Source organism: Homo sapiens, chromosome 18 (assembly GCF_000001405.40).
Source record: "Homo sapiens chromosome 18, GRCh38.p14 Primary Assembly".
NCBI lineage: Eukaryota > Metazoa > Chordata > Mammalia > Primates > Hominidae > Homo > Homo sapiens.
In genome coordinates, this window is record NC_000018.10 from 53131653 (window position 1) to 53157858 (window position 26206).

At 38.0% G+C, this 26206-nt stretch overlaps 1 protein-coding gene across 5 annotated transcripts in view; it reads left to right on the forward strand.

Moving 5' to 3' along the window:
- The window catches only part of DCC (DCC netrin 1 receptor), a 1195703-nt gene that overhangs the window by 791456 nt on the left and 378041 nt on the right, over positions 1-26206 (forward strand). For all 5 annotated transcript variants that reach the window (NM_005215.4, XM_017025568.2, XM_017025569.2 and 2 more), the window contains one exon: positions 25704-25860. In NM_005215.4, coding sequence (NP_005206.2) covers positions 25704-25860 — 157 coding nt within the window. The remainder of the gene's footprint in view (positions 1-25703; positions 25861-26206) is intronic.

Sequence of the window (26206 nt, forward strand, 5' to 3'; positions counted from 1 at the left end):
TAAAGAAATATGAGCACACTCATGATTTCAAACAAGGTTACTTTGGTAGAAAAGACAGTCAAATAAAGAGATGACATAAGGGAATAGATTCTGAGTGCCAACCAAGTGATACAGACAGTAAGTGTCACCTTAACTCAGAAGAGACAGAGAAAATCATAGGTAGGTAGAGAATTGAGTCAGCACAGCAAAGGCCGAATTTGTCTTGGTCTTAAAAATAAATCGGTGCAAATCAAAATGGATGATTTAAATTTTACAGCCTATAATGGCACTTGGCAAACATGGTATCATTGTCTCTAAGTGATTTTTTTTTTTTTTTTTTTTTTTTTTTTTTTAGCTATATTACCCTTTGGCTAAGGCTAAGACAGATTCTTGCAGTTCATTATTGTTTAGCAGATAGCAAGCTTTTTAGACACTTTTATAGTGAAAGTGTGTCTTCTCGCTTTATTTATATACTTATAGAATCATCTTTGAAGGCATAATCACCAACTGCCAAATTTGAGGACCTTGGCAGATGGAGACAGATTTCCCAGGGAAAATTTGAAATGGCGGGGAGTCTAACCAGTGATGTGCTGATAAGAAAAACATCCCTGATTTGGAGAATTTGCCAGTTTCTGTGATACAAATAGTCTCACCCTTGCCAATTTCAAGCTACTAACTTGGGGTTATTGAATCCTGACTTGGAAAGAGTTGAGCATGATGAGTCGACCTGAGCTGCTGTAGGCTTGCTCCAGCACACTGCGGAAGCTATCAGACATTCACATTTCATCTAGAAAGACATGGGGAGGGATGCTGATCCACGCTTAAGTCCTTCCCCTTTCCATTCTGATCCTCACTTGGTCTTCCAACCATTGTTCTTTTTCAGATATATGGCTCTTGTGACAAGATTATAAAGGTCAAAGATGCTTTATCCCAATATGTATCTTATTCATTTAGGCTGTCAAATATAATTTAGTTTGTTATCCATAGCAGCAGTGCCTCATTGCTTGAGCAGGCATGCGGCAGTGATGTGAAGAGCAGGAGAGAGTGGTGTCAGGACCTGAAAGGGTGTGCACCTGTGGAGTAGCTGTTTATTAGGACTTGTTCCTGATGCAAGCATGTCAGGCCAGGGTTCATCTTCCAAAAATAGGGGTAGCAATTCCAGAGTCCTCCACTGATTTATGGAGAAGGACCCATCATTCTGTAACTCTGAAAGCTATGCCAAGAACAGGTTATTCATGTGAGACTTCATTTCCTTTAATGGATCTGGGACAAAACTTGTAGTCATGTTTACAAGCCATGAGTGCCTGCACCACTGTGGTGGCATCCCAATACTAGGATATTTACCTAGAGCTATATGAAGCAGAATCATCAAACCATAAGTAAGAATCTTGTTAGAGTTTGTTTAGCCACAGGCCTACTATTAGGGAAGTACTAACTCCCTTCATCTAAATTTCTACATACTCTAATAGTCTTCTTAGTTATCACATGGCATTGACCATTTTCTTGTTGTCTGTATTAGCTCCTGCTGCAACGGCAGTTATGAAATCTGACTGAGTTTGTGCCAAGGCACAGCTGTTCTCACTGGTCTTGCAGATGCCCAGCAAGTTGCTGGGAATACCCAGATGAAGCCTAAAGCTGCTCCAGATATAAAACTGTCCACACTAGTACAACTTAAATGTAGTACAAATGCTGTAAGTTTGCAATATCCCTCAGAGATTTTAATGGAAAATCCAAGTACTGTTTTAGTTTTTTTCCTTTTCTTTTGCTGATAACCCCTTTTACAAGATTTAAAGATGAGTCCACAGGGTTGGACTGAGTTCAGTGGTAACACATTCTCTACCCCTTTGCCCTGAGATACTTTCCTAGAATCACACATGTGTGTTTTATTCCTTTCTTGGGAGTATTCTGGTTTTGATCCCTTAACCTATTCACCAAGGGAGCTCTAAATAATATCATCCACCACTTTCATGGGCCACTCACATTTCATAAAGATTGCAAAAGAGATAAAACAGAAAACTATTAGTGGTACATTAGCTACAACTCCTTTCTCTTCCTTTTCACTGAACACAGTGAACAGAAAGACTCATTGGCTTGAGAGCCACTGTGCTGAAAGGCTTGTTTATGAGTTCCCAACATCTTCAAATAGGAAACCACTCAAGAGAAGTCCAGATAAAAGTCAAGGGTTAGTTAAAGCCAGGAGATACAACAATAATGCCAGCTATGAAAAGCTGAGCCAGGTCATACAAAGAAGAATAAAATTCAGAGTTTAGATGTTGGAATTAAGAATGCATGTCAGTTAGGCTGGAAAAATAGTTGAGAGGAGAGACCATGAATTTTATTGGAGAGCAAGAGACTATTTTTATGGAGTACCAGCTAGGTTAATGGAGTCAGATGGGGTGGGATATGTGAACTGTCTAGAATTATTTACTTTCAGCCAGTCATACTCATGACTGCAAAAAGGACAAGTTGAGGCTGTGCCTCTCTTTAGAATGTCTGCATTTTAAATATCTATTTACAGCAAATGATATGTTGCTGTACTGCAGGTTTATTAGAACACTAGCATATGTGTTGACAAGGCAAAGGTATGTTAAATATCTTTCTGGAGAGTCAATCCTGATAAAGCAGGACATGCACTTAATTATAGTCATTTAACAGTGGCTTTTCTACTTTAATTATAGTTTTATATAATCTATGCATGACAAGTCTGAATAATAATAAAGGAGGAATTATAAGCTGAATATGGAGAAGGTTTTGGACCCTGCCTGCTTCTGAACTACACTCTCAATCTGGATTATATATAAGCATATATAAATAACATACACTCCTCTCAAGAATGCTGCATTACTAGAGCCTTACACTGTTCTTAAATATGAAGGAGATTTGTTTTCAGGTTATTGGAGATACAGAGATTCACAGAACTGCCTTGAGGGACACATTTTTTATGTACAAATATAGCTTTTACCTAGCCAGTTGGTAGGTCAAAACCCAATGGCCCAGGGAAATGGTTTATCTCTTAGCTCAGAATTTGACTCTGTGGTGGGTAGACTATAGTTAAAAGAAATGATTTTTTTGACATTGGTCAGAAAGTTATTTCCTTATAGTGACTTATTTTGTCCATTCACTTGTACCTAGAGGTTTTAAAAGACAGACACATTAAACCTGTGGCTAGAGGTGGGGCTTACAGAAGCAAGAGTGACAGTCTTCACCATCAAATGCAGTTGACGTTTGCAAATGACAGGAGACAAACTGGAAATTGTATTCCCTCAATTCCTAGCAGCTGATTCCGACTCATTCATACCAATATTGTAACTGTTGTCACTCTTCAGAGTCCCTCTGGGACATTAGTACTAGGTTGTCAGTTGTCCTGTAGTTAGGCATCTATGACGTGAACACCAATAGGAACCTATAATTGCTAGAAACTCTTATTCATTTGTTTTAGTGTGTTGAAATCCATTATATTTGTAATGGATTTTCCAAGTCTCACTATTTGCCAGACACCCTCTCTGCACCCTTGCTTCTCAGCTTATTGGAACAGACTGACGGGAAAACTATGCCGCTCTCTTGGTTTCTAGGGTGGAATTTCAGGGGAGAATGATGGGAGAGGCCAGGTAATAAAAAAGCCTCCTTCCAGAGATGATATAACTTGGCAGCCTTAAGCTCAAGAGATGGAGGTGGGATCAGGATGAAATAAGAGCATGGGAAATCAGGATTCATCACACAAATAAATTTTCCATTAATGTTTGTGGATTAAGGATAATAAGGGAAAGAATGCCAGCAAAAAACATGTATATTTTATGCAGGAAAGGCAATAAAATTTGATATTTTGATTTTTACACTCCTTATCCCACATCTGAATATAATTGTCTAGGATTGCAGGAATTATTTTCTGCAAGTGTTGCTGGTAATTCTTCATCCAGTCTTCTTCCAGTGTGGGTACAGTTACGAATATTGCCACCTAGGGCTGACAGCTGCTTTCAACTGGACAAGGTTTTATGGTTTCTTTGTCTTTCCCCCAACCCACAAATGTTCTCAAACCTCTTGCATTTATTTATGTTATTTTACTTTGCATGAATGGGGGAAGAAACAGTGTTCAGCAATTCAATGATGGCTGAATGGAATAACAGAATTTCATTTCCTAAGGGAACATTTGAGAGTGATTGAATCACCCTCAATCTACAAGCCACATTTTTGCACTATTTTTCTACTTGACTAATTGATTATGACAGGTGTCACCCAAGCTTTGCAGCTTAGGCTGTCCCCATGCTAAGACAGAGCCATAGCAAGCAACTTCTATTGATGAAATAGAAAAGCTATGCATGGTTATTTTTCCTTATTGATTTTCTAGTATATGATGTCAGTTAATTACTGAGAGCCATTCACTGCATACATGTAAGTAGTCATTATAACCATATTTTCAATTGATTTTTTCCCTACAAACATAATCAGTTATTTGTTTGAGCTGAACAGAAATGTAAATATCTGCAGTTGTAAAAAAAAAATTGGATGTGTGTGTGTATGTGTGTATGTATTATATGGGTATATTCTTTATGGGCATGTGATTTTATCTATCTATCTATCTATATATATATACACACACACACACATACATGCATATATACACACACATACATACACACTAGATATAATCAATATTATATGCCCATCGGGAATATACTCCCTGTAACATATTTACAGGTGTGTTTGTGTGTTGTGAACAGAGAAAGAACAGCACATGTCATGGCCATGCTAACAATTTTGGTTACTATACCAAAAGGGAGATTTCTAAAGTATTGAGCTTTAAGTATATTGCATTTTTAGTTTCGCAAGACAATGAAAAAATTAGCCTATCTACCTTATGTGGAGGGAAAGAAGCCAGATACACCAAAAATTTATTTGTATAAGTCTACTTATATAAAATTCTAGGAGATGACAACTGAATATATAGTAACAGAAAGAAGATCACAGGTTGCTAGGAACTGGAGGTGGCAGGAGGGATGGACCACAAAGGGTTATGAGGAAACTTTAGGGTTGATAAGGTATCTTGTGTCTCTTGCTTGTGGTGGTGATTTTTTGGTTGATGTACCTGTCAGGATTCATCAAATTGTGTATGGGCACAGTTTGTTGAACAGAAATCATGTCCCAATAAAGTTGTTTTAAAAATGAGGAAATGTATGTCTCAGCATTTGAACACTATTTGGAGAATTACCACAAATTTTCCATGTTTCTAATAATATTAAATCATTTCTACATATGGCAGGAACTTCATATTTCTCAGAATATACTCTTGGAATGGAAGTGATTATATCCATGATATATATTGAATGTCCAGGCCCTAAAGGGCCATTCGGAAGACATTTGAGTTTTTTTCTAGTTGACTTGATAATTTCTACTTACCTAGGAAGAGGAGAGCAATAACTAACCTTTGAAAATTTCTCATATTGACCTACATGATAGACTGATATATTCATTTTCAATTAGTGTATAACAAATTACTACAAACTTAGCAACTTAACATAACACACATTTATTATTTCAAAATTTCCATGTGTCAGGAGTCCAAGCACAGCTTTGCTGAATTTGAGGTCTCCCCAGGCTCCAATCCAGGTATTGGCCAAGGTTGAGGTCTCATCAGAGGCTTGACTGGGGAATGATCCACTTCCAATCTCTCAGATTATTGGCAGAATTCTTCTGCATGTGGCCATAGGTCTGAGTTCCCCATGTCCTTGCTGACTGATACCTGATGACTATCCTCAGAACTTTGAGGCCACTCAGCGTTCCTGGCCATGTAGCCTCTCCATAGGAAGCTCACAACATGAAAGCTCACTTCTTTGGGATCAGCAGAAGCTCTTCTTTCAGTCTGCTATGACATAGCTTTGTAAAATGTTACTTAACTATGAAGGTAACCACCTTTGCCATGTAATGTAATCTAACCAAGAGAGTAACTGTTTTATAAATTTTGCTATATTGTATTGACTAGAAATCCAACTGTACCCAGTGGAAGTACAGTCATCTTAGATGGCTTGGGCCACTTTAGTGCATATCTACCTCAGTTGTTTTATAGAGGACCCTTGAAATAAGTAACTTTCTAATAATATATTTAATAAAGAAATATTTGAATAAATTTATATACATATACTTAATAATTTTAGCAGAATGTCATTCAATTTTAAATAAGCAAGAATAATATTACTATTTTTTTTTCAAGACAAGGTCTCACTCTGTCACCTAGGATGGAGTGCAGTGGCATGATCATGGCTCACTGCAGTTGCTGCCTCCTGGGCTCAAGCAGTCTTCCCACCTCAGCTTCCCCAGTAGCTGGGACTACTGGTGCATGCCACCATGCCCTGCTAACTGTTTTTTTTTTAAATTTTTGTTTTGTAGAGACAGGATGTTGCAATGTTACCCAGGGTGGTCTTAAACTCCTGGGCTCAAGTGATCAGTCCACCTCAGCCTCCCAAAGTGCTGAGATTACAAGCATGAGCCATTGTGCCCAGGGAGTAGTACTTTTAAAATCTGGTCTAATTTATACTGGTTTAATTTTTATAAAAACTCTCAGGACCCTACCTATTGTGTCGTCAGGGATGTCTCTACATGGTGCACCAGGCCATGAAGGAGTTAATGTGCCTCTCTAATGCTGTCAATTTCCATCTTCCTCGTCAGTAAAATAAGACCTATAATTTGCAAAATGAATCCACATTCTTGAACAGTGACTGCATTAAAAAACCTGAGTATTTTAATAATTAGCTATTCAAATTATCTTATGGTTGCCTACTATTCATAAAGTCAAAAACATAATATAAAATAACATAGATCATAATATTAGTTACAGATGTCAGCTTACTTCTATTTTTCTGAAGAAAAGGTGTTAATGAATTTCTCTAGAATGATTTCTGACATAATTGCCAGGATTGTACAATATATCATTCTACATTTATGCCAGCAAATTAGCATCTGTGATTCATACAGTGGTAGCTTTCTTAATTTTATCATGTACAAAATACATGTTGTTTTGATTTTTCAAAATAACTCATGGCTCTCTGCCTTGTAGACTGAAGAGAATTTACAATTTTGTCGTTGAATTGGTGAATATTTCAAACAATATGACAGACACTAACAATATACCCTTGGGTTTACAGCAGAATAAAGCTGCTACTCTGATAAGCTACCAAATACTGTAAATGCATCAATAATTTCAGCCTGAAAAATATTACTTTTTTAATTGATGCATTTTTCTCATGACAATTATACAATACTTAGCACGCAATATTCACTTTCTAATACCAGAAAGGCAGCTACAGATGGTGTCAATATAAATTGTTTGTAATATTCTCTGTGTTTGTACGTACTATATACACTATGATTACATCCAAGAGCTCAGGTTTGCAGACCTTTTCTGCCCTTGTATTTGTGACCTTGGGTGTACTTCTGCACTATCCAATGTCTCTCATAATGCAAAATTACAGTAATATCCACTTAATGTTCATAGGCTGCTTTGTACAATTACAGTTACACAGCGATCACTCAAAACACAGTGATAATACAATTCCTCATCAAAATAAACCATTACTGGCCAATGTTTGTGACTTTTTCCGGACTAAGCCACTCTCCTGGGGCTGGCAATTTATGGTGCAAAAAGCAGCAGAATGTGCTATTTATAATTATGCAGCTTTCTTCTGGGATCAGAAAATCACTGGACCTCATTCCTACCTTACTGAAAGAGGAAATGGTAATTTATGTTGTGTTATTTGTCTTTAAAATGAGGAAATAGGGTCAAAGGAAGGATAAAGTGTCCAATGTCATGCACTGGTAAAACTGGAATTAGTAGTTACCATCTCATGATCTGATTTCTAGTTGTTTGTTTGGTTGGATTTTTTTCTTTGTTGTTGTTGTTTGTTTTATCTTGAATACCTTTTTTGTTTAACAAAAACTTATTGTGCACCTGCTATGAGTCAGGCATTCTGTATGTGTTTTATAAATTTTAACTCAGTTGACTTTCAAGCTTAGGAGTTAGCTGCTGCTATTGTCACCCACATTTTATAGGTGAGGAAACCGAGACACTGAGAGGTGAGGCAGTTTGTATGAGGACACATAACTGGTATGTGGCAGAGGCAGTTTGGCTCTGGAATCTACACTTAACCACTGTTCTTTGCCACCTCTCCTTCTCCTGTGTGACTTGTCTTTATCCTCCAGGTCAGAAACGCATCACATAAGGCCTATTTCCTCCCACCATGATCACTAGTGCTTATACTCTGTTTACCATATTGAGTCAGTCACCAAGGAGGATACAAATAAAGAATGTGAGCTCCAAAAAGGCAGACGGTATTTATCTTGCTTACTGAATCCCCATTACCTGGAACAGTGCCTGATACATGAAAAATATTCAACAAAAATATTTTGCATGAATAAATGATCAGATGAATAGATAGATAAATGGACAGATGTATGAGATAGATATGTACCTTGTTTTAAGGGAGCTTTTAGTTTAAGAAGACAAACCATAATTCAGCTGAATAAAACATTTTATGATTTTTTATTCTTTTCATATCCTTCAAAGAGTGTTTCTATAAATAAAACTATTTCAGTCTTGGTGAAACAGATTTGCTCAGTTTTAAAATATATATTAGAAAAACATATGTTAAAACCCAAATTAAACAAGCTTTTATCTGCATGGCTCAGTGTCAACTCAGATTAATTTGGTAGAGGTGAAAATGAATTCTTTCGCAGAAATTATCTTGCCATATTTTAGGATGATGTTTCCGTATGGGTGGCATTTTTATGAGAGGAAATTGAGAGCAGAATAACGAATGGAGTTGGGAGAATATTGCAGGTGTCTTCATCTTAAATATGCCCCCAAATATAATAGAGTCTGCACAGAGATTACATGCTGGAGTTAGTAGAAAGGATTCGGTAGTTTGTTTTCATATCCTTATCATTTAAATAAAACATTGTCATGTTTATATTTTTTCACTGTAGGTCATTCAATTTCTCTCACACAGAGAAATATGCCGAAGTAGGGACACATTCAGGAAGGGAAACTAGTAATCAAGAGACAAAAAATTGATTTTTGTATAAAGACTAATATATGCTGAGGGAAAAAGAGAAGGAAAATGTCAGTGTGTGGTAATATAGGAGGTTTGAGTGATTGATTAAAGATTGGAAAGGGAAGCCCGACAAAGGGAATTTCATCAAAATATATAAAACCAAAAAAGACATGATAGGTGGCTATTGATTTATTCAATAAATTGTAGTATCCTTCACCCCAAGAATCTACTCAAACTTTAGAAGAGTTTGTTTTAGGATGAGTTATAAATAAATTCAGATAATAAACTCAGCGAGAAATTTAATGGCACAAGAAGTTCCTCAATAAGTCATTAAGATAAGTGATGAGAATTTCAGTACACATCCCTAAATTTTGCAGTTGGTGTCAGAGTCAGTCAAATGTTTATAAAGCATGAATCCTGGTTAAAAAAAATTATGTCAGAGAAAAATCTACCATACTCATTGATTATTGAGTTTATAACTAGAGCTTTCTTCATGATTATTATTGAGACAAATGATGATGAAAGTCCCTAGCGACCTCTGTTTCCTGTTTGTTAAAGGGCTAAAAAATAGTGAAATGATTTGAATATAGGGAATGGGAAAGTAAGAGAACCACTGTGTATGAGTGGGTATCCTCCAAAATAAATTGGGCTATGTTTCTGAGCCAATACGTATGAAACAAAGGGTGGACCAGAATATATGTAAAGTGAAATTTAAAATTATTTATCATAATCGTTAATAGTCAAAGATGGGGAAAATCCAGGAAGGCAAAAAAGTTGAAACTGCTAGCGAAATGGGTTTCCCAGATTAGCCAGAATCCTAAATTGCCGTAAAGGACACACTAAATTGTCTGGAAGTTCATCCTAGGTTTTAGTGATCTGTGATCATTTTACCCTGGACTAGCATGAGGAGCGAACTATGATGTGTAAGATTTTGGAAACACTATTTCAGCTGACTGGATTTTGTGGATTCTTTCAATGACACATTCCTTTCATCAGAGTCATTGGTATATACTCTTCAGTAATTTTTATGTTTTGTTTTGTAGCTTTCTTGTGGTACATTGTTCTACTGCTCACTTCTTGCCTCTCTCCTCTCCATGGTTGTGTGTTTACAAAAAAATGAAACTTCCCACCCGCAATTTTGAATTGTATTGTCCTGGTTATGATTACTTTTCATTTTCTTGTCATCCTTGATACTGTGACCAGTCTTTCTCAGGGAAGTACATTGAACACCAAGCTACCTGTGGTATGTCCATATGCTCATATGCTCTGAAACAAACCCTGTCCAACATGTTGAATTCCTTTCCCTAGGCTCTGCCTAAGTGCAAGCCTTGTGATTCGCTTAGTCCATGCCCTCTGGGAATTTGCTATGCCCACTGGAGCACAACTGTCTTCCCACCCTGCCACCTTTAATTTTATTAGCTATTAGCTGTTACCTAAGTTGAAAAATGGAATGACACAGGAATGTAGTTGAAATCCAGTGCATTACTCCCTAGGATGAAAAACAAAGTAGACACACAGGCTGACTGGTGCCAGGTGATACAAAAGCGTCAGCATGAATCATAAATGCTCTGGTGGATGACACTTCTCAGATTGATGGCTGCAGTCTGAACGCTTTGTGTCTTGGGCCTGTGTTTGGAAGTCGGGTGGTGCACATTCTTTTCCACCCTTTAGAATTAATCTTTTCACACTGGCTGATAGATGTTAGCTACAAACACAGTAAGAATCCTAAAACTTAACACTGTCGTTGTTCCTTTTTTTAAATAAGTTCTTTACTCAGAAACAAATGATGCACTCCTAATAGATAAACATCCTTTTATTATATGTCTTCATGGAGTCTACTCTTTTTTAGACAAACACTAGTGCTAACCACATTAGCGCTGATCTTTAACTATAATTTAAGCAACAGTCCCTACCCCTCTTTAAAATAAACATTTTTATATATTGTAGAATAATTTTACATTTACATGAAAATTGTAAAAATATAGCAGAGCTCCTATATACCCTTTACCCAGTTTTCCACTGCTAACGTCTCACATGACTGTGTATTTCAAAACTAAGAAATCGACGTTGCTATATTACTGTGAACTACAGTCCAGTCTTTATTTGGATTTCATTAGGTTTTCCATTAATATCATTTTTCTGTCTCAGAATCCAATCAAGGGAACCTCCTTGCATTTATTTGTGATGTCTTCCCAGACTCCTTTTTCTGTAACAGCTTCTATCTTTCCCTTTTTTCTTGACCTTGACTGTCTTGAAGAGGATTGGTCAGGTATCTCAATCTGGGTATATCCAAAGTTTTTTTCATCCTTTAGACTGGTATTCTTTTTGGAAAGAATACCACAGAGGGGAAGTGTACTTCTTGCCACATAATATCAAGGATACGTGACAGCCACATGACATCACTGAGGATAATAACTTTTACCACTCACTAAGTGGTGGCTGAGTTGGCCAGGGTTTTACTCTGAAATTAATATTTTTTCATCTCCATACTCTTTTCTTTGGAAGCAAGCATATCAATCTAGCCCACTCCCCAGCCTCCTCACCTCTTTTTTTAATGGCTGCAATCAACTCTATGACTAAGATCTAACATGATTGTACCACATTCTGTGTTAATTATCTAATACAACTCTAGATAGTTAAGAAGGCAGTATAGCCAGTGTGCTGACAGCTGTATAGCAGTGATTCCTCCTTTTGAGAATACAGGTTGGTTGCCCAGAAAGAGTTTAAGAATAAAACTCTTACAATCTCCAGATTTCCTATCCCTTACCTCTACCCAAAAGAATTAGACACCAGAACAGATAGTTTACGTGTTTGGCTCATGACATAGCTGGATGGCAGAGAGGGGTGAAGTCACCTCTGGTTCATCTTGAGGATTTTTGTCTTATTTTCTAGTCATCCCTTAGTGAATTTCTTTAAATATCATGTTATGGTTTGTGTTCAGACCCTAGAGCAGCAGGAAACCAGAGACAAGAGTGAGTTAGGTTTTGTAACTCTATCTTCATGCTTATTGCAGAGTAGCTGCAGAATCGCAAACTACATGTTATAGTCAGTAATTTTAAAATGTTTCAGGAAGCGTGGCATCAAGTTGTGAACTTTACACAGGTAATTTTTTCCTTCTGTCAAAATATTTACTTATGAATGTGTTATATAATTTACTTTTTGCTTTAAGTAGCCACAGGTGCGAGAATGATTGTTTCCATCCCATTTGAAGCTTAACAAATTTTCACACTTTGAAGGTGAAGGCCACAGTGTTTTGTATTCTTATGTTGACATTTATTATACTGAAATAATTCTCTTTGGTGGAATTAATAATTACTTGGAGGATGAAGTTACAATAGAATATTCAAAGATATTGAAATGAAAGGTACATATGCTGACCCTTTCTATTATCATCTTTTCTAACTGTAGCTTACTTACCACCTTCTTCTCTTTGAATAGGTTGATATGTAACAGCTCTGCATATTAGGGATGTTAATGCTTTTAATAATATGGAAAATGTCTCAGATTGTCATTCATATTTCCATCTCCCTATTATGTTTCCTCATGTAGAAGTTTTTGTTTCAATACAGTCATATTTATCAATATTTCTTTTCATGGGTTCTGGTTTTTACATTTTCTTAGAACTCCCTTCCCATTTCAATGGTGTATTAGTCTGTTCTCATGCTGCAAATAAAGACATACTTGAGACTGGGTAATTTATAAAGGAAAGAGGTTTAATTGACTCACAGTTCCACCTGGTTGGGGAGGCCTGGCAATCATGATGGAAGAGCACGGGACATCTTACATGGCGGCAGGCAAGAGAGAGCTTGTGCAAAGGAACTCCCCCTTATAAAACCATCAGATGTCATGAGACTTACTCAGTGTCATGAAAACAGCATGGGAAAGACCCGCCCCCATGATTCAATTACCTCCCACCAGGTCCCTCCCACGACACATGGGAATTGTGGGAGCTACAATTCAAGATGAGGTTTGGGTGGGGACACAGCCAAACCATGTCAAATAGCCAATATCTATTCACTTCTGAATTTCCAATATATAGTAAGGTGGTGAAATAGTCAAGTCAGGGGCTGGTGCCATTTGTTTTCCTTTATATTTTGAGACTGTACGTAACTGAACTCAAGGTACTTTATGGGCATTATCCACTGTATTTGTGTCTTGATGGTCATGTGGGAGAAGAGGGAAGTTTTTACAATGTTTTCAGTTTGGAAGAAATTCAGGAACAGGAGATAATATAATAAGGTCATATCATCAAATTTTATTGCTTTTATCCCCTAATTCTCATCTTTTTCTGTATTATGCTATCTTTAGAACCAGTGTGCTATATGGTCTGAGTGTTTGCGTCCCTCTAAAATTCATGTTGAAACTTAATCCCCATTGTGGTGGTATTAAGTGGTGGGGCCTTTTGGGAGGTGATTAAGCTGTGAGGGCTCTGCTTTTTTTTTTTTTTTTTTTTTTTTTTTGAGACCGACTCTTGCTCTGTTGCCCAGGCTGGAGTGCAGTGGCGCGATCTCGGCTCACTGCAAGCTCCGCCTCCCGGTTCTCGCCATTCTCCTGCCTCAGCCTCCCTAGTAGCTGGGACTACAGTCGCCCGCCACCACGCCCCGCTAATTGTTTGTATTTTTGGAAGAGACGGGGTTTCACAGTGTTAGCTAGGATGGTCTAGATCTCCTGGCCTCGTGATCCGCCCGCCTCGGCCTCCCGAAGTGCTGGGATTACAGGCATGAGCCACCGCACCCAGCCCAGGGCTCTGCTTTTATGAGTGCGATTCATGCCCTAAAATGGGCTGAAGGGAGCTGTCTTGCCCTTTCTACCTTGTGAGGACGCAGCAACGGGTGTCATCTATGAAGCCCTTACCAGACATCGACTCTGATGGTTGGTGCCTTAATCTTGGGCTTCCTAGCCTCCAGAATTGTGAGAAATATATTTCTGCTGTTGATAGATTACCCAGTCAAGGATATTATTATAGCAGCCCAGGTGGATTAAGATGCAGCTATTACTTTTAGAACTGGATAGTGAATCTGTCATTGAGTTCCAAATTCTGTCCCAAATTTGGATGAATTGTTTTCAACTAGAAAACAAGGGGGAAGAAGAGAGAAAGAAATAAATAGAAAAAGAAGAAGTAAAATAGAGAGATGGAAGCTACTGTTGCTTCATAGCTTGATAGAGCCTTAGTAGTGATTTTAGGGACTGATGTACCTGCACCTGGAAGGTATTTAACCAGCTGATAACTGGAAGAGAATATAGTCCTTTGTACTTTTATAACAAAATACCACAGACTGGGCCAGGCACAGTGGCTCACAGCTGTAATCCTGGCACTTTGGGAGGCTGAGATGGGTGGGTCACTTGAGACCAGGAGTTTGACCAGCCTGGCCAACATGATGAAACCTTATCTCTACTAAAAATGCAAAAATTAGCTGGGCATGGTGGCACACACCTGTAATCCCAGCTCCTTGGGAGGCTGAGTCTTGAACCTGGGAGGCAGAGGTTGCAGTGAGCCAAGATCATGCCACTGTACTCTAGCCTGGGTGACAGAACAAGACTCTGTCTCCAAAAAATAAAAATAAAATAAAACACCACAGACTGGGTGATTTATGAAAAAAAAGAAATTTATTTCTTACAGTTCTGGAGGCTGGGAGCACAAGGTGAAAGCATCAGCAGATGTGGTTGTCTGGTGAGGGCTGCTGTCTGCTTCTGGGATGGCACCTTGTGGCTGCATCCTCTATGGAGCAGGAAGTTGGTGTCCTCACATGGTAGAAGGAATGGAAGGGGCAAAAACTGGGGCAAACTCTTTGCCAAGTCCTTTTATAAGAGCAATGATTCCTATTTACGAGGGCAGAGCCCTGATGACTCAATCACCTTTGAAAGGCCATACATCCCAATACTGTTGCATTGGAGATTAAATTTCAACCTGAAGGGTAGAGGGACAAAAACACTCAATTCATAGAAAGCCTTGTCTACAAAGCCAATTCTATAATTCTTTTTACTTTATTCAAGAAAAAAAAGGTCACTGATTATACATACCACTTACATCTTGATGAGAATTAGTGAACATAGGAATACCTGCCAAGCGTATGCTTTGCCTCAGCTACAATAGCAACAAGGAATTAAACTTAAAATAGATACATTTGTTATGGTGGATGAACATCTGTATCCTATGTTTTAGTATTCCACATGTGCTGTGTTATAGTTTGAATTAATAGATGTATTGATCAACCATAATTCAAATCAATATGGATCTTTAGGTAAATAATACATTTAATGATTTTTTTAAATTAAAAAAGACTTTTAAAAAGACCCATCTTTTCTAGAGGAATTAATATTGTTCTATTTAGAGTGACCAGGGGGAATACTGACTTTGATGCACAGCCACAATTTATGATCATATAATGTGTTTTATTAATCATCTCTGGTGATTATTGTTTTTATTGTCCTACTTTATAGATTTAAGGTGTAAGTACTAGGTTCAGGTCAATATGCCTCTTCTATGGTTGATAGCTTAGATATCATTTTCTTCACTGCAGTACATTAAGAAAGAAAAAGAATGAGCTACATGAGTGATGACTCAGCTGTGGTTGCAAGTACATGCTCACCGTCCTCCTTCTCAGAAAGAGGACTAGAAGTAGTCGGGGCCTTTTTCTTTCTCTCTCTCTCAGAAATATAGAGGCCTGGATGGTCATACCTAAAAACAAAAAGGAATCTAAGGAAACATGCTTCGTATACATATTATGCCCCCTTTTGTTTTGCAGTGACTTCATAACAGTGGCATAATACTCTACGTCTATGAACTTAATTGGAATAACTAATAATTTATCTTAGTTTTATACCCTCTTTTATTTGCTTCATTTTTATTTCCCTTTAATTTGTTTTGGTGGCTATAAAATTTAGGGATGGGTAGCAAGGGGTAAGAGCCAAGTGCACTGCACACAAATGCTTAATAAACCTCACTGCCATACACAGCCAGTACATTCTTGGCCTGTGGTGCCACCTCACACACCTGTTATTATCCTGTCTATCTGAAACACAGTGTTTAGTGAACCTGTCATTCTGCAACTCTGATTCTCAGATAATTTTTTTTAGATTGAAATGAACATATCCTAGAAATGAGCATTTCCACAGCTATCCTGACACCATATCCTTGAGTAAATTATTTTAAAATTTATTGTAAGTCCTATAGGGAGAGTTGGAAGTTAGCCATCAAGTATGATTGGAGCCATTTTAATGAGTTGCCTAGTATCCTACAATGGTAAAAAGAGCTCTTAAAATGACCTACATTACTAAAGAGAGTAGCTTAAACCTTTAGTTCTTCTTACTTAAGTTGTATTATCTTCCATGTATCTTTACTTGAGTTTCTCACTGGAAACATTTAGTTGTTTAACACACACATACAAAATTAAACTCCCTAGCATTGATAAAATTATTTTTTTCCTTAACAACACAACTTGTCAGCTATTTTACTTTAGTAGTGTCTCATAACCAAAGGAAATTGCAGGGAGAAAGCACTGATTCTTAAAGCCTGACATACTGATCTATATCAGCAACGCATGTGTTCTTTAGACGTTCTTCACCGGCAGAGGACAGGATTGCCTGCCAGCCTGGGACAAAGCACCATATGGCTGGGATGAGGGGAAGGATGGTGATGCACATGAAGGGTGGGAGGGGAGCTGTCACAGCCTGTCAGTCTTTATTCCCAGAGGAAACTCTGGTGACAAGGGAGTGATTGAAATGGCACGTTTGGGGTCTCTGGGCATGGAGAATGGATAAACAATGACTGGGAATTCAATGACATAAACTCAAGGGAAAGGGTGGAAACAAAGCGAGCTGCAATTGGGTAGAAGCATAACTCTCCTGTAGTTGGGGAAAGATGCCAGGAAGAGACATTGATGAGAAAGATGATTAAAGGTGGCCTCACAAAGCCTTGGAATAGTGACAGATGGAAAGGGTGCAATGATTAGTAAGAAAATACAAAGAGAAAAAAGAGACCTGAAATGAAATAAAGTCTTATAGGAGCAGAAATATGGAACAATACAATTTTTTAAAAAGAAAATGAATGATAGATTTTTCTCTGCAACCTGAAAAGTTAAGTAGAGAAGGATGTACAAGTGACGACGTACTTTCCTTCCACAGACGAAGCATGCTTGTCCTCAACTTACTTGATCTACCAGACTCAAAACTAGCTCAGAACTTCCCAATGCCTTTTTTTTTTTTTTTTTGGACAAAGTCTCGCTCTGTTGCCCAGGCTGGAGTGCAGTGGCATGATCTCGGCTCACTGCAACCTCCACCTCCTGGGTTCAAGCAATTCTCTGCCTCAGCTTCTTGAATAGCTGGGATTACAGGCACCCCCCACCACACCCGGCTAGTTTTTGTATTTTTAGTAGAGATGGGGTTTCACCATCTTGGCCAGGCTAGTCTTGAACTCCTGACCTCGTGATCCACCCGCCTCGGCCTCCCAAACTGCTGGGATTACAGGCATGAGCCACCACGCCCCGCCTCCCAAAGCCTTTCTATGAGAGTTCCTACATCTCCAGACAGCCATTAAGAAACTGGACGAGCAGAAATAGGCTTTCTGCTCTCAAGATCTAAAGATAGACAAATAACAATAATAACAGCCGTTTATTGAATGCAAATCATATGCTAGGTATGGTGAGCAGCCCTTAGACTCCACTTCTCATTATCACTTAACAACTCTGTACACTAAATATTTTGTATCCACTTTTAATGTGGAAATTAAGGCCCAGAGAGGCTAAATACCTTTCCAAATAACACAGTCACAGAGTTTGGAGTAGGGAGCAAGGTTCATACCATTTAATTGCAGTTCGCTAGTCAAATCTATTTATTTACATACATGATGCCCTAGCCACCTCGCCAAGCTGCCTGTGGTACTTGCTGTATCTTCATAAACTCTTTAAAAGGCACTTTCCTAAATAAGCAACTTGGAAATAAAGAAATTATTAAAAGCATATGATATATGTTTTTACATACCTACAATGTGCAGATTTGAGCATAAAACCTTTAGTTGCTCACATATTGGTTGGCCAGTTTATCAGATAATATTTTTCTCCTCCTTTTTTCTGAAAAGAGCTCAAACTCTGAGAGCTATAGTTATCGTTGCTGAGATGAAAATACTTCCCGAAATTAGTTTCTCAGTTTATCTCTTTGTGTGGCCATAGGAAATCCTTTTTAGCATACAACTTTTATTTGGCCATACTCTTTGCTGTATGATTCTGGGATAAGAATCACACTTTCTATAACAGACCCGTAGGTCCCCTTCTGGATACAAGGTCAGCCCAAACCAAATTTTCGAGCTTCCTTTTTGCTTCTTAATGAAAGCATTATTTCCCTTAGGAAGCATCGTTATGTGAACACACCTACTTTGTTTGGCACAATGTAGAAAGCTTGCCACCAGGGCTTCCTCTAGGGATCAAGGCTGACAAACTGTGACAGAGCAGGCTGTGATATATTTCCCCTTCTCCATTTGGTTCAAAATAAAATGTTCTCACCCCAAACCTGCATTTCCTTAGAACCTTCCTCTGAGCTTGGTTTTTCATTCTACTTTGTAATTTATCTGCAAATTAATAATAATGAACATAACTAGTTGGCAGTAATGCTCAGTCTTCTCCCAGTGCATATTCTCAAGCAACCACTGTACAGAGTTCTGAAAAGGAGTGTTCCAGCCAAAGTCTTAACATAATCTCACAAATTTGCAAAGCCTTCCGTTTAGCTGGACCCTGCAATAATTTAATGTATACCTGTGATATGGCTAACATACACTGTGATAATGATGGAGGATTAAAGTGATAAACAGTTTAGACTTGGTTCCTTCTTTCACAGAGCATACAATTTGTAATAGGATCACAACAACAATAACAAAAATGACCGGATTGTTGGAGTCCAGGGAAGTGCCCTGACAGGAGAGTTTGTCTTGTCCAGATCCTGTGAACACCCAGGTAGAGGGGCCTAAGCCAGGCTGGAGATCAGTGAGGTGACACTCTAACTGAAACCTGAAGGAGGCCCCCACGTCAGGGCAGCAAAGCAATTGGAGGAAGGTATTCCAGCTGAGTTTGCAGCACACAAAAGTAGCAGAGGTGAAAGCATGAGGTCTTCCTGGAATTGAGCAAGTTCAGCATGGAGAACTGAGAGGTAGCAAGGAGGCTGTTCTGAAAGTAAAGTCTCTGCACACTCCTGAAACCTAGCTCCGCACTCTCAGAGACCCTCAACTGTATCTTTCAGGCTTAGATCCTTCAGGCCCTGTCATGCTGAAGACAACTGAGAAAGTATAGCTGATATGGAAGGAGTAATGTTGGAGGTGGCAGCAAATGCATCCTGGAGGGTCAAGCCAAGCTGAGTAGGGGGTATGACCAAGCTGGTTTTCCCTCTGGGATTTGAAAATGGATTGAACAGCTTCTCACCCAGTGCCTTGCACAAAGTATGTCTTCAATTAACATTGAATGGATTAATAATTGGATGCATAAATTCATTTTATCAAAGAGTACATACAAGGTATGATTCAATTCCATAGCACTATTATTATGATAGTTAATGTACAAATTAAATAGGTATCTGGAAACAGAATAGAAATCATTTAGTGAGGTGGTGTGTTCTAATGTCTAAATAACTTTTCTACCCAAACTCTAGAATGGAACTCATTTGTAAGCAAGTGACTGTCTCTAACTTTTCCATAGTCTTACACAGGTACATCTTGAGTCCTCAAATTAATTGCCTGTTCTCTAAGGTCAAAACTCAGGGCTTAAAAATAAATTATTATTAGCTTCATGCGTAACAGTAGGAACATGATAGATATTCCATCAATATTCATTATTCATTTTTATCTAAAATGTACCTATCCAATACATTATTTTATGTGTGTGAGATAATGCATTGTCAATTAGATTTTACCATTTCACAATGTATATATGCCTCAAGGTATCATGTTATACAGGATAAAAGCATACAATGTTATCTGGCAATTAAAAACAAATAAATAAATGATTATTTAATGAGATTTTATGGAGTACATTAAGTTTCATCTCATTAAGATTAAAAATGGTTTCAAATAACTATTTTATAAAATCTACATTTCTTACTTTTTCTAAAGTTCTTAATCTACTACCACAAAAGTCATGATTCTTTCCATTTTGAAAATAATGTAACATTTTAGAAAAAATATTATTTCATTTTAAGTTTTAATTATACACAACCATGCTTCTTTTTTTGATAATTTTATGAAATAACTTTATGAACTGTAAAAACTTAACTATCATTTAGGTTTATCCACTTCTTCATTTAGACAATAAAAAGCTAGAGTTTAGTGTCAAGGGAACAACAAGAAAAAAAAATCAAAAGGAGAAATGATAGTTGTTTGCTCTTAGGAAAATTAAGTGTTTCTGTTATTTCACTGACAATATCTAGTTACATATTATTTTTATTAAATGGTGAAGATGCAGACTAATAAAGCAGATGCAGCTAATAAAGCAGCTAGTTGATTTGGTGGCTACATTTGTAATATTTTAGTGAGCAACATGGGGAATGAAACAAGGAAATAGGTCTATTGGCTTGTTTGAGGTTTAATGTAAATTAAACATTTTTGTTGTTATGAGTACCCCTTATCTTTCATATACATCATAGGGAATGAAGGTAGTGGACTATCAATAAGCTTAGAAAAAAATTCATGTTCATAAACACTGTATAATAACGTGTGACAGAAAAAGTCCTTGGTATCTAGAAAAATTGAAGCTTTATTTAAAAAATTAATCCAATAGCATCATTGTTACCAAGGCTATTGCAGGGGACCTAAACAAAATATTATTTTTTGGCTTCAAAACTATGAATATTTGGCTTTTCGTTATCTATAAAAATTATCACCCTTTCCTGGATTTGGCTATTATTAAAAAATTTTTAAAGATGTTCTTAAAAGAAAAAAAAAGACTGTCATTATAGTGTGGCAAATTCACCTCCTCTTCTCCATGACAACAGATAAAGAAGCTGTAGCTATAGCAACAGTAATGGGCCAGAGAGATTAGGGCCAGACTGGAGATTAGGCCTCCAAGAGCAAAGAAAAGAAGTCCTGATTGGTTCTTTATTGAGACCTTATTTGAAGGCAAGTTACTGTTGAGAGAAAGCATGGAGGATTAGTAAGAACAAAATTAATTCCCCTGTATAAGATAAGAAGCCATTCCTTTGTTAAAACTGTGTTCCTCCGTTTTAATATAACGCCTGTTTAAACTGAGGTAAAGAGTCCGTGATTAATTCTATGCTGAGCTTTGTGCCATCTGAGTCTAGACCAGCTCTGTGAGAAGACACTCCCTGAAGCCTAAGGAGAAAAGAGGGAGGAGCATCTGCCTGCTTGCCATTGCCCCTTGCCCTCCTCTCTGGCACTCCCTGGGTGGGTTGGAGATGCCAATTGGTTTGTGATGTTGACATCATGTAGGAGTGAGATGCTCTTGGAGGAAAAAGATTGGAAAACTTCCCTCTTGTTCGTATAAAACTTATTTGTCTAACTTCTTGAAAATTTCAAAAAGCTTTCACCAAGTTATAATTAATTATATGTTTAAAAATACGTTTCTCAAAAATCTAGTAATGTTCCCATTTTTTAATAACTGGTAAGTTATAGAGGTATTACATTTTGAGTAAATGTGCTATCTATAATTTCAGATTGATATACTGATGAAGGAGGGATTTGTTATTTTTTAAATAATAAATTTATAGGAATGAGAATATCTGGCCTGATGCTATGAATTTTTTTAAAAGGATTTTGCCACATTTACTTCTGAACATGTAGTGCTCACACACACTTCAACTGAGAGCCTGTGAGAGCGCCACACCCTGGCCGACATGAGATATTCACCTTCTTTAAAGTGGTCTCCGATAGAATTTTTTCAGACTCTGTTTTAATGTGTATTTCTTGCATTATTTGTCAAGTTGAACCCCACTTTTCAATAAGACGATTTATTATTTTAAAGATTTAAAAACATGCTTTTTAATATTATGTTACTTGGTTTTTATATATTTTCTAAATACTTTCAGTCAGTCTTTCCACGGGAAACAACACCTCAACTAAACCAAGAGGGAAAGTAGGAGTTATACAGATGAGTGAGAGGGGCTTGTTAAGGTTTGGGATCTGCTTCTGTGAAGGCCTAGGCAATTGCAGGGGGCTCAGCATGAGGAGAACATACTTAATATAGAAGCATCAAGAAGCCAAGGAGCTTCCACATAAGCACCATGAGAACATTGGCTTCGTCTGTTGTTCCCCACTCTCTCTTCTGTGCTTAGACAAGGAGGACAGGCGATCTGAGCTGTTCGAATATTTGCTGAGTGAGCAGAGCTACTGAACGTTGCTAACTGTGCACCTCTGCAAGCCTCTGCCCGAAGGTATTTTCTGTCTTGCTGTAGGAACACACTAGGCCATTGTTTAGGAAAGGCAAATCCCCTGGAATCACCCTCAACAAATGATGGAGAAGGAGTAGGTAGATAAATACCCCTATCCACTACTCTGAGGGATGAATAACTCTGAGGCATGTCCTGTACTGACTCCCAGAGTCCCCGATGGGATTTGCCCTTCCGTTTCCCACAGGTATAGCCATATAGATAATGCACTCTTCAGATAGGTCCCTCCCTGCCCTGTCTCACTTCCTGATTCTCTGCAGTATTTCTGGGATCATCTCCCAAATGTAGTACTTGAACAAAAGTCCTCTTCTGAAGCCTTGTTTACGGAGAAAGCCACCCAAGACCCATGGTCAGCAGGAGTCAGGCCAGCAAGCTAATTAAGAAGTTTGAAGCTTGCCCTGAAGACGATTTGTGGAGGAAAAATAAGTAGTAGAGTGACACGACCAGATTTATATTTTTATAAGCTCATTCTGGATGCTGCACAGAGAATATATTTGAGGAAGGTGAGTTTAAGGAAGGCAGAGGAGCTGGGGGACACTTGTGGTAATTCCAGTTAGAGAGTGCAATGGTGTCAATGGAAGCATGGCAGTGGAGACGCAATAGTGTGGGTAGATTAATGAGATGTTCAGGAGCGGGGAACCCTAGCATGCGGTGAGTGAAGGAGAGTCAGGAATCAAGGATGGGCTTCGGGTTTCCAGGCTGCACAGCTGAGAGGACAACTTGAATATCACCCAGGAGGAGAAGCAGGCTGAGGGGGAGGGAGAGAATAAATTCACTCCAGTGTGTTAGTCTTAGCTGCCTGTGATGTGTGGAAGTAAAAGTTTTTGTCAAGAAGCTTAATATCACTCATATTTTTGAGAGAGATACGCCATCCCCAGGCATCAATCTTTTCCTCTCCCTCACCACTCTGCTATAAAAGATTGACTAACTCACTGCCACTCTTCCATTTATTTAAAATACTGTACTGATCCAGAGAGCAAGGCGAAATTTTATCTACAAAGAAATAGTCAAAGAATCTATGGAGTCAGAAATAACTTTGAATACTTTTTTTTTTTTTGCCATTCTTTAAAACCTCTATTTCTCTGTATAGCTAGTAAGAATTGTATATCGATAATGTTTCTGGAACCATTAGAAAATGGGGTATTTCCACTACCCAGATGAATTTTTCTAGCTAGCAGAAGTTTAACTCATGGCAGTGATACCACTCAGCCAGTCGCTATACAAAGTGAATGCAAGAATGAAGACTGACTTTGATAAAGACTAGGGAAAATGGACCACAAAAGCCGGTTTGAAGATTTTATATCCGCAAATGGGTACCTGTGATTTGTGGCTAGAGATCACCTGTCGAGATGAAACACGTATTCCCTAGACTTGAGAACTTTAACAAACATAAAGAAAACAGAGTTATCACAGCAAAGCTGAATTATGAATTCACACACACCCAAGCAGACACACACTACAAAATATACATGCACATATGTAATAGAAAACCCTGTCTTACATATTATTAATTCCCCCAATTTGTGAAAAGACAGTTTTTTAATTGTGAATAATTCAGAGTTGTTCTTATGAACAAGTCCATGAAAATTGCTTCTACTTTTTGTTAACTTTCATCAGCTTTTCATTTCTGCTCTTAATTTTCTATGGTCTTAAAAAATACATAAATAAACCACTTCAAATTGTTTCCAAACAGGCTGGGAGAGGTGGCTCACGCCAGTAATCCCAGTACTTTGGAAGGCCAAGACAGGTGGATCATCTGAGGTCAGGAGATCAAGACCAGCCTGGCCAACATAGTGAAACCCTGTCTCTACCAAAAATACACAAATTAGCCGGGTGTGGTGGTGTGTGCCTGTAATCCCAGCTACTCAGGAGGCTGAGGCAGAAATAAATTGTATCAGAACAGTGTAAACATGTAGACAGATACTGACAGGAATAAGGTTTTGTGATAACTTTTTGGTTACCTGAAGCATTTATGAATACAGGTAAGTCTGTGGCTATGTTATAGAATATTGAGGTCTCCATTGGTTTGACTTCCAAATTAGCGCTTTATTAAACTCGGTGTCAGTGTTTGTACACCTACTTGGGCTGTATCTTTTCTACTATGAAACATATTTTAACTGTGAAATGAATATTTTAAAGAATCACCTTGGGGCCAGGCATGGTGGCTCATGCCTGTATCTCCAGGACTTTGAGAGGCCAAGGTGGGTGGATCACTTGAGGTCAGGAGTTCGACACAGCCTGGCCAACATGGCAAAACCCCATCTTTACTAAATATACAAAAATTAGCCAGGCGTGGGGGCACATGCCTGTAATCCCAGCTACTCGGGAGCCTGAGGCAGGAGAATCACTTGAACCTGGAGGCTGAGGTTTCAGTGAGCCAAGATCGTGCCAGTGCACTCCAGCTTGGGTTGCAGAGCAAGACCCCATCTCAACCAAAAAAAAAAAAAAAAGAATCAACTTCGTTACCATTTTTTAATACATAAGAAGAGTTTTATAGTATGTGATTTTTCTTTGTCAGAAATCATGTGGTCTTACTGTATGTTAAAACTATATGATTACATTTTTTTCTACAGTAATAACTGCCCCCAACCTTGTAAAATCCTGGAGATTATGGCCCTCTTAGCTCTTCTTAGAACTGTTAAAAATGCCAATAGGTTATCTTTGACAAATAGTCACTGTAAATTTAGATTTATATTTAGTATATCTTGAGTTTATCTTCTGAATTGTAATACCGTCTTTTACTTCGAATATAGATACATGTGTTCATTCGTTTATTCATTTATCCATATTTTTACTTATTCAACCTCTGCTTCATTCCAGAAACAATTCAGGGAAATATTAATTACTTAAAATGATTTGTCTTTTACCAAAGACATTTTCTATCATCAGTTAAAGTCATGAGAGGTGTAATCCTTTTACAATATTGAATCATATTATCCACAGTTCTAAGGTCTTTCTAGAACTCAAGTGCTTGTTAAAAATTCACATTGCCAAATTTCTCTCCCCTTTTCTTCCCTGAGCAGACATTTTTTTCCCTTATTGTCATAGATCCCATGGGTAATAGAAATTGGACATTTAAGCAGTGGAATTGTATACATGTCATTAGCCACACTTTAAAACCCAAGAAATACAAATATACCTTTTATTCCATTTACTGTGTGCATTCCCTTGGTTTTCTTCCTTGCTTTAGAATCAAGGTGACTATGACATGGAGATGCTTGCTAATAGGTTGGCTCTGCCTTCCTACCCAATTCTTACCTATGGCAGCGACACCTCTGATAGCCTCCTCTTCTTTCTCCTTAGCTATCCCAAGCTCCAGTGTCCTCCCTTCGGCTCCCAGAGATGTGGTCCCTGTCTTGGTTTCCAGCCGATTTGTCCGTCTCAGCTGGCGCCCACCTGCAGAAGCGAAAGGGAACATTCAAACTTTCACGGTCTTTTTCTCCAGAGAAGGTGACAACAGGTAGGTGATGCTACCAATAAAATTCAGCTTAATCGGTCATCTCTTTAAGTCAATACGGTTGGGTAATGGCAGGAGGAGATCTTGGGCAGGAACTTTGGAGAGGCTGTGAAATCTCTACTATGTCCTTCACTCATTCCCCAGTGGAGATGTGCACTTTTAAAAAGCAGTGTTGTTGACACAGTCTAATGAAATTATCTGTATAAAAAATCCTTGAAAAAGGTAAGAATATATTATGTCAATTTTTTATTTCTTTGGTTTTCAGAGTCATAAACAGAGAACAGAATTAGGCTGTATATTAGTAGAACAGTGTATAAAAGCACTACTGTGGCTAGCTTGTAATCCCATT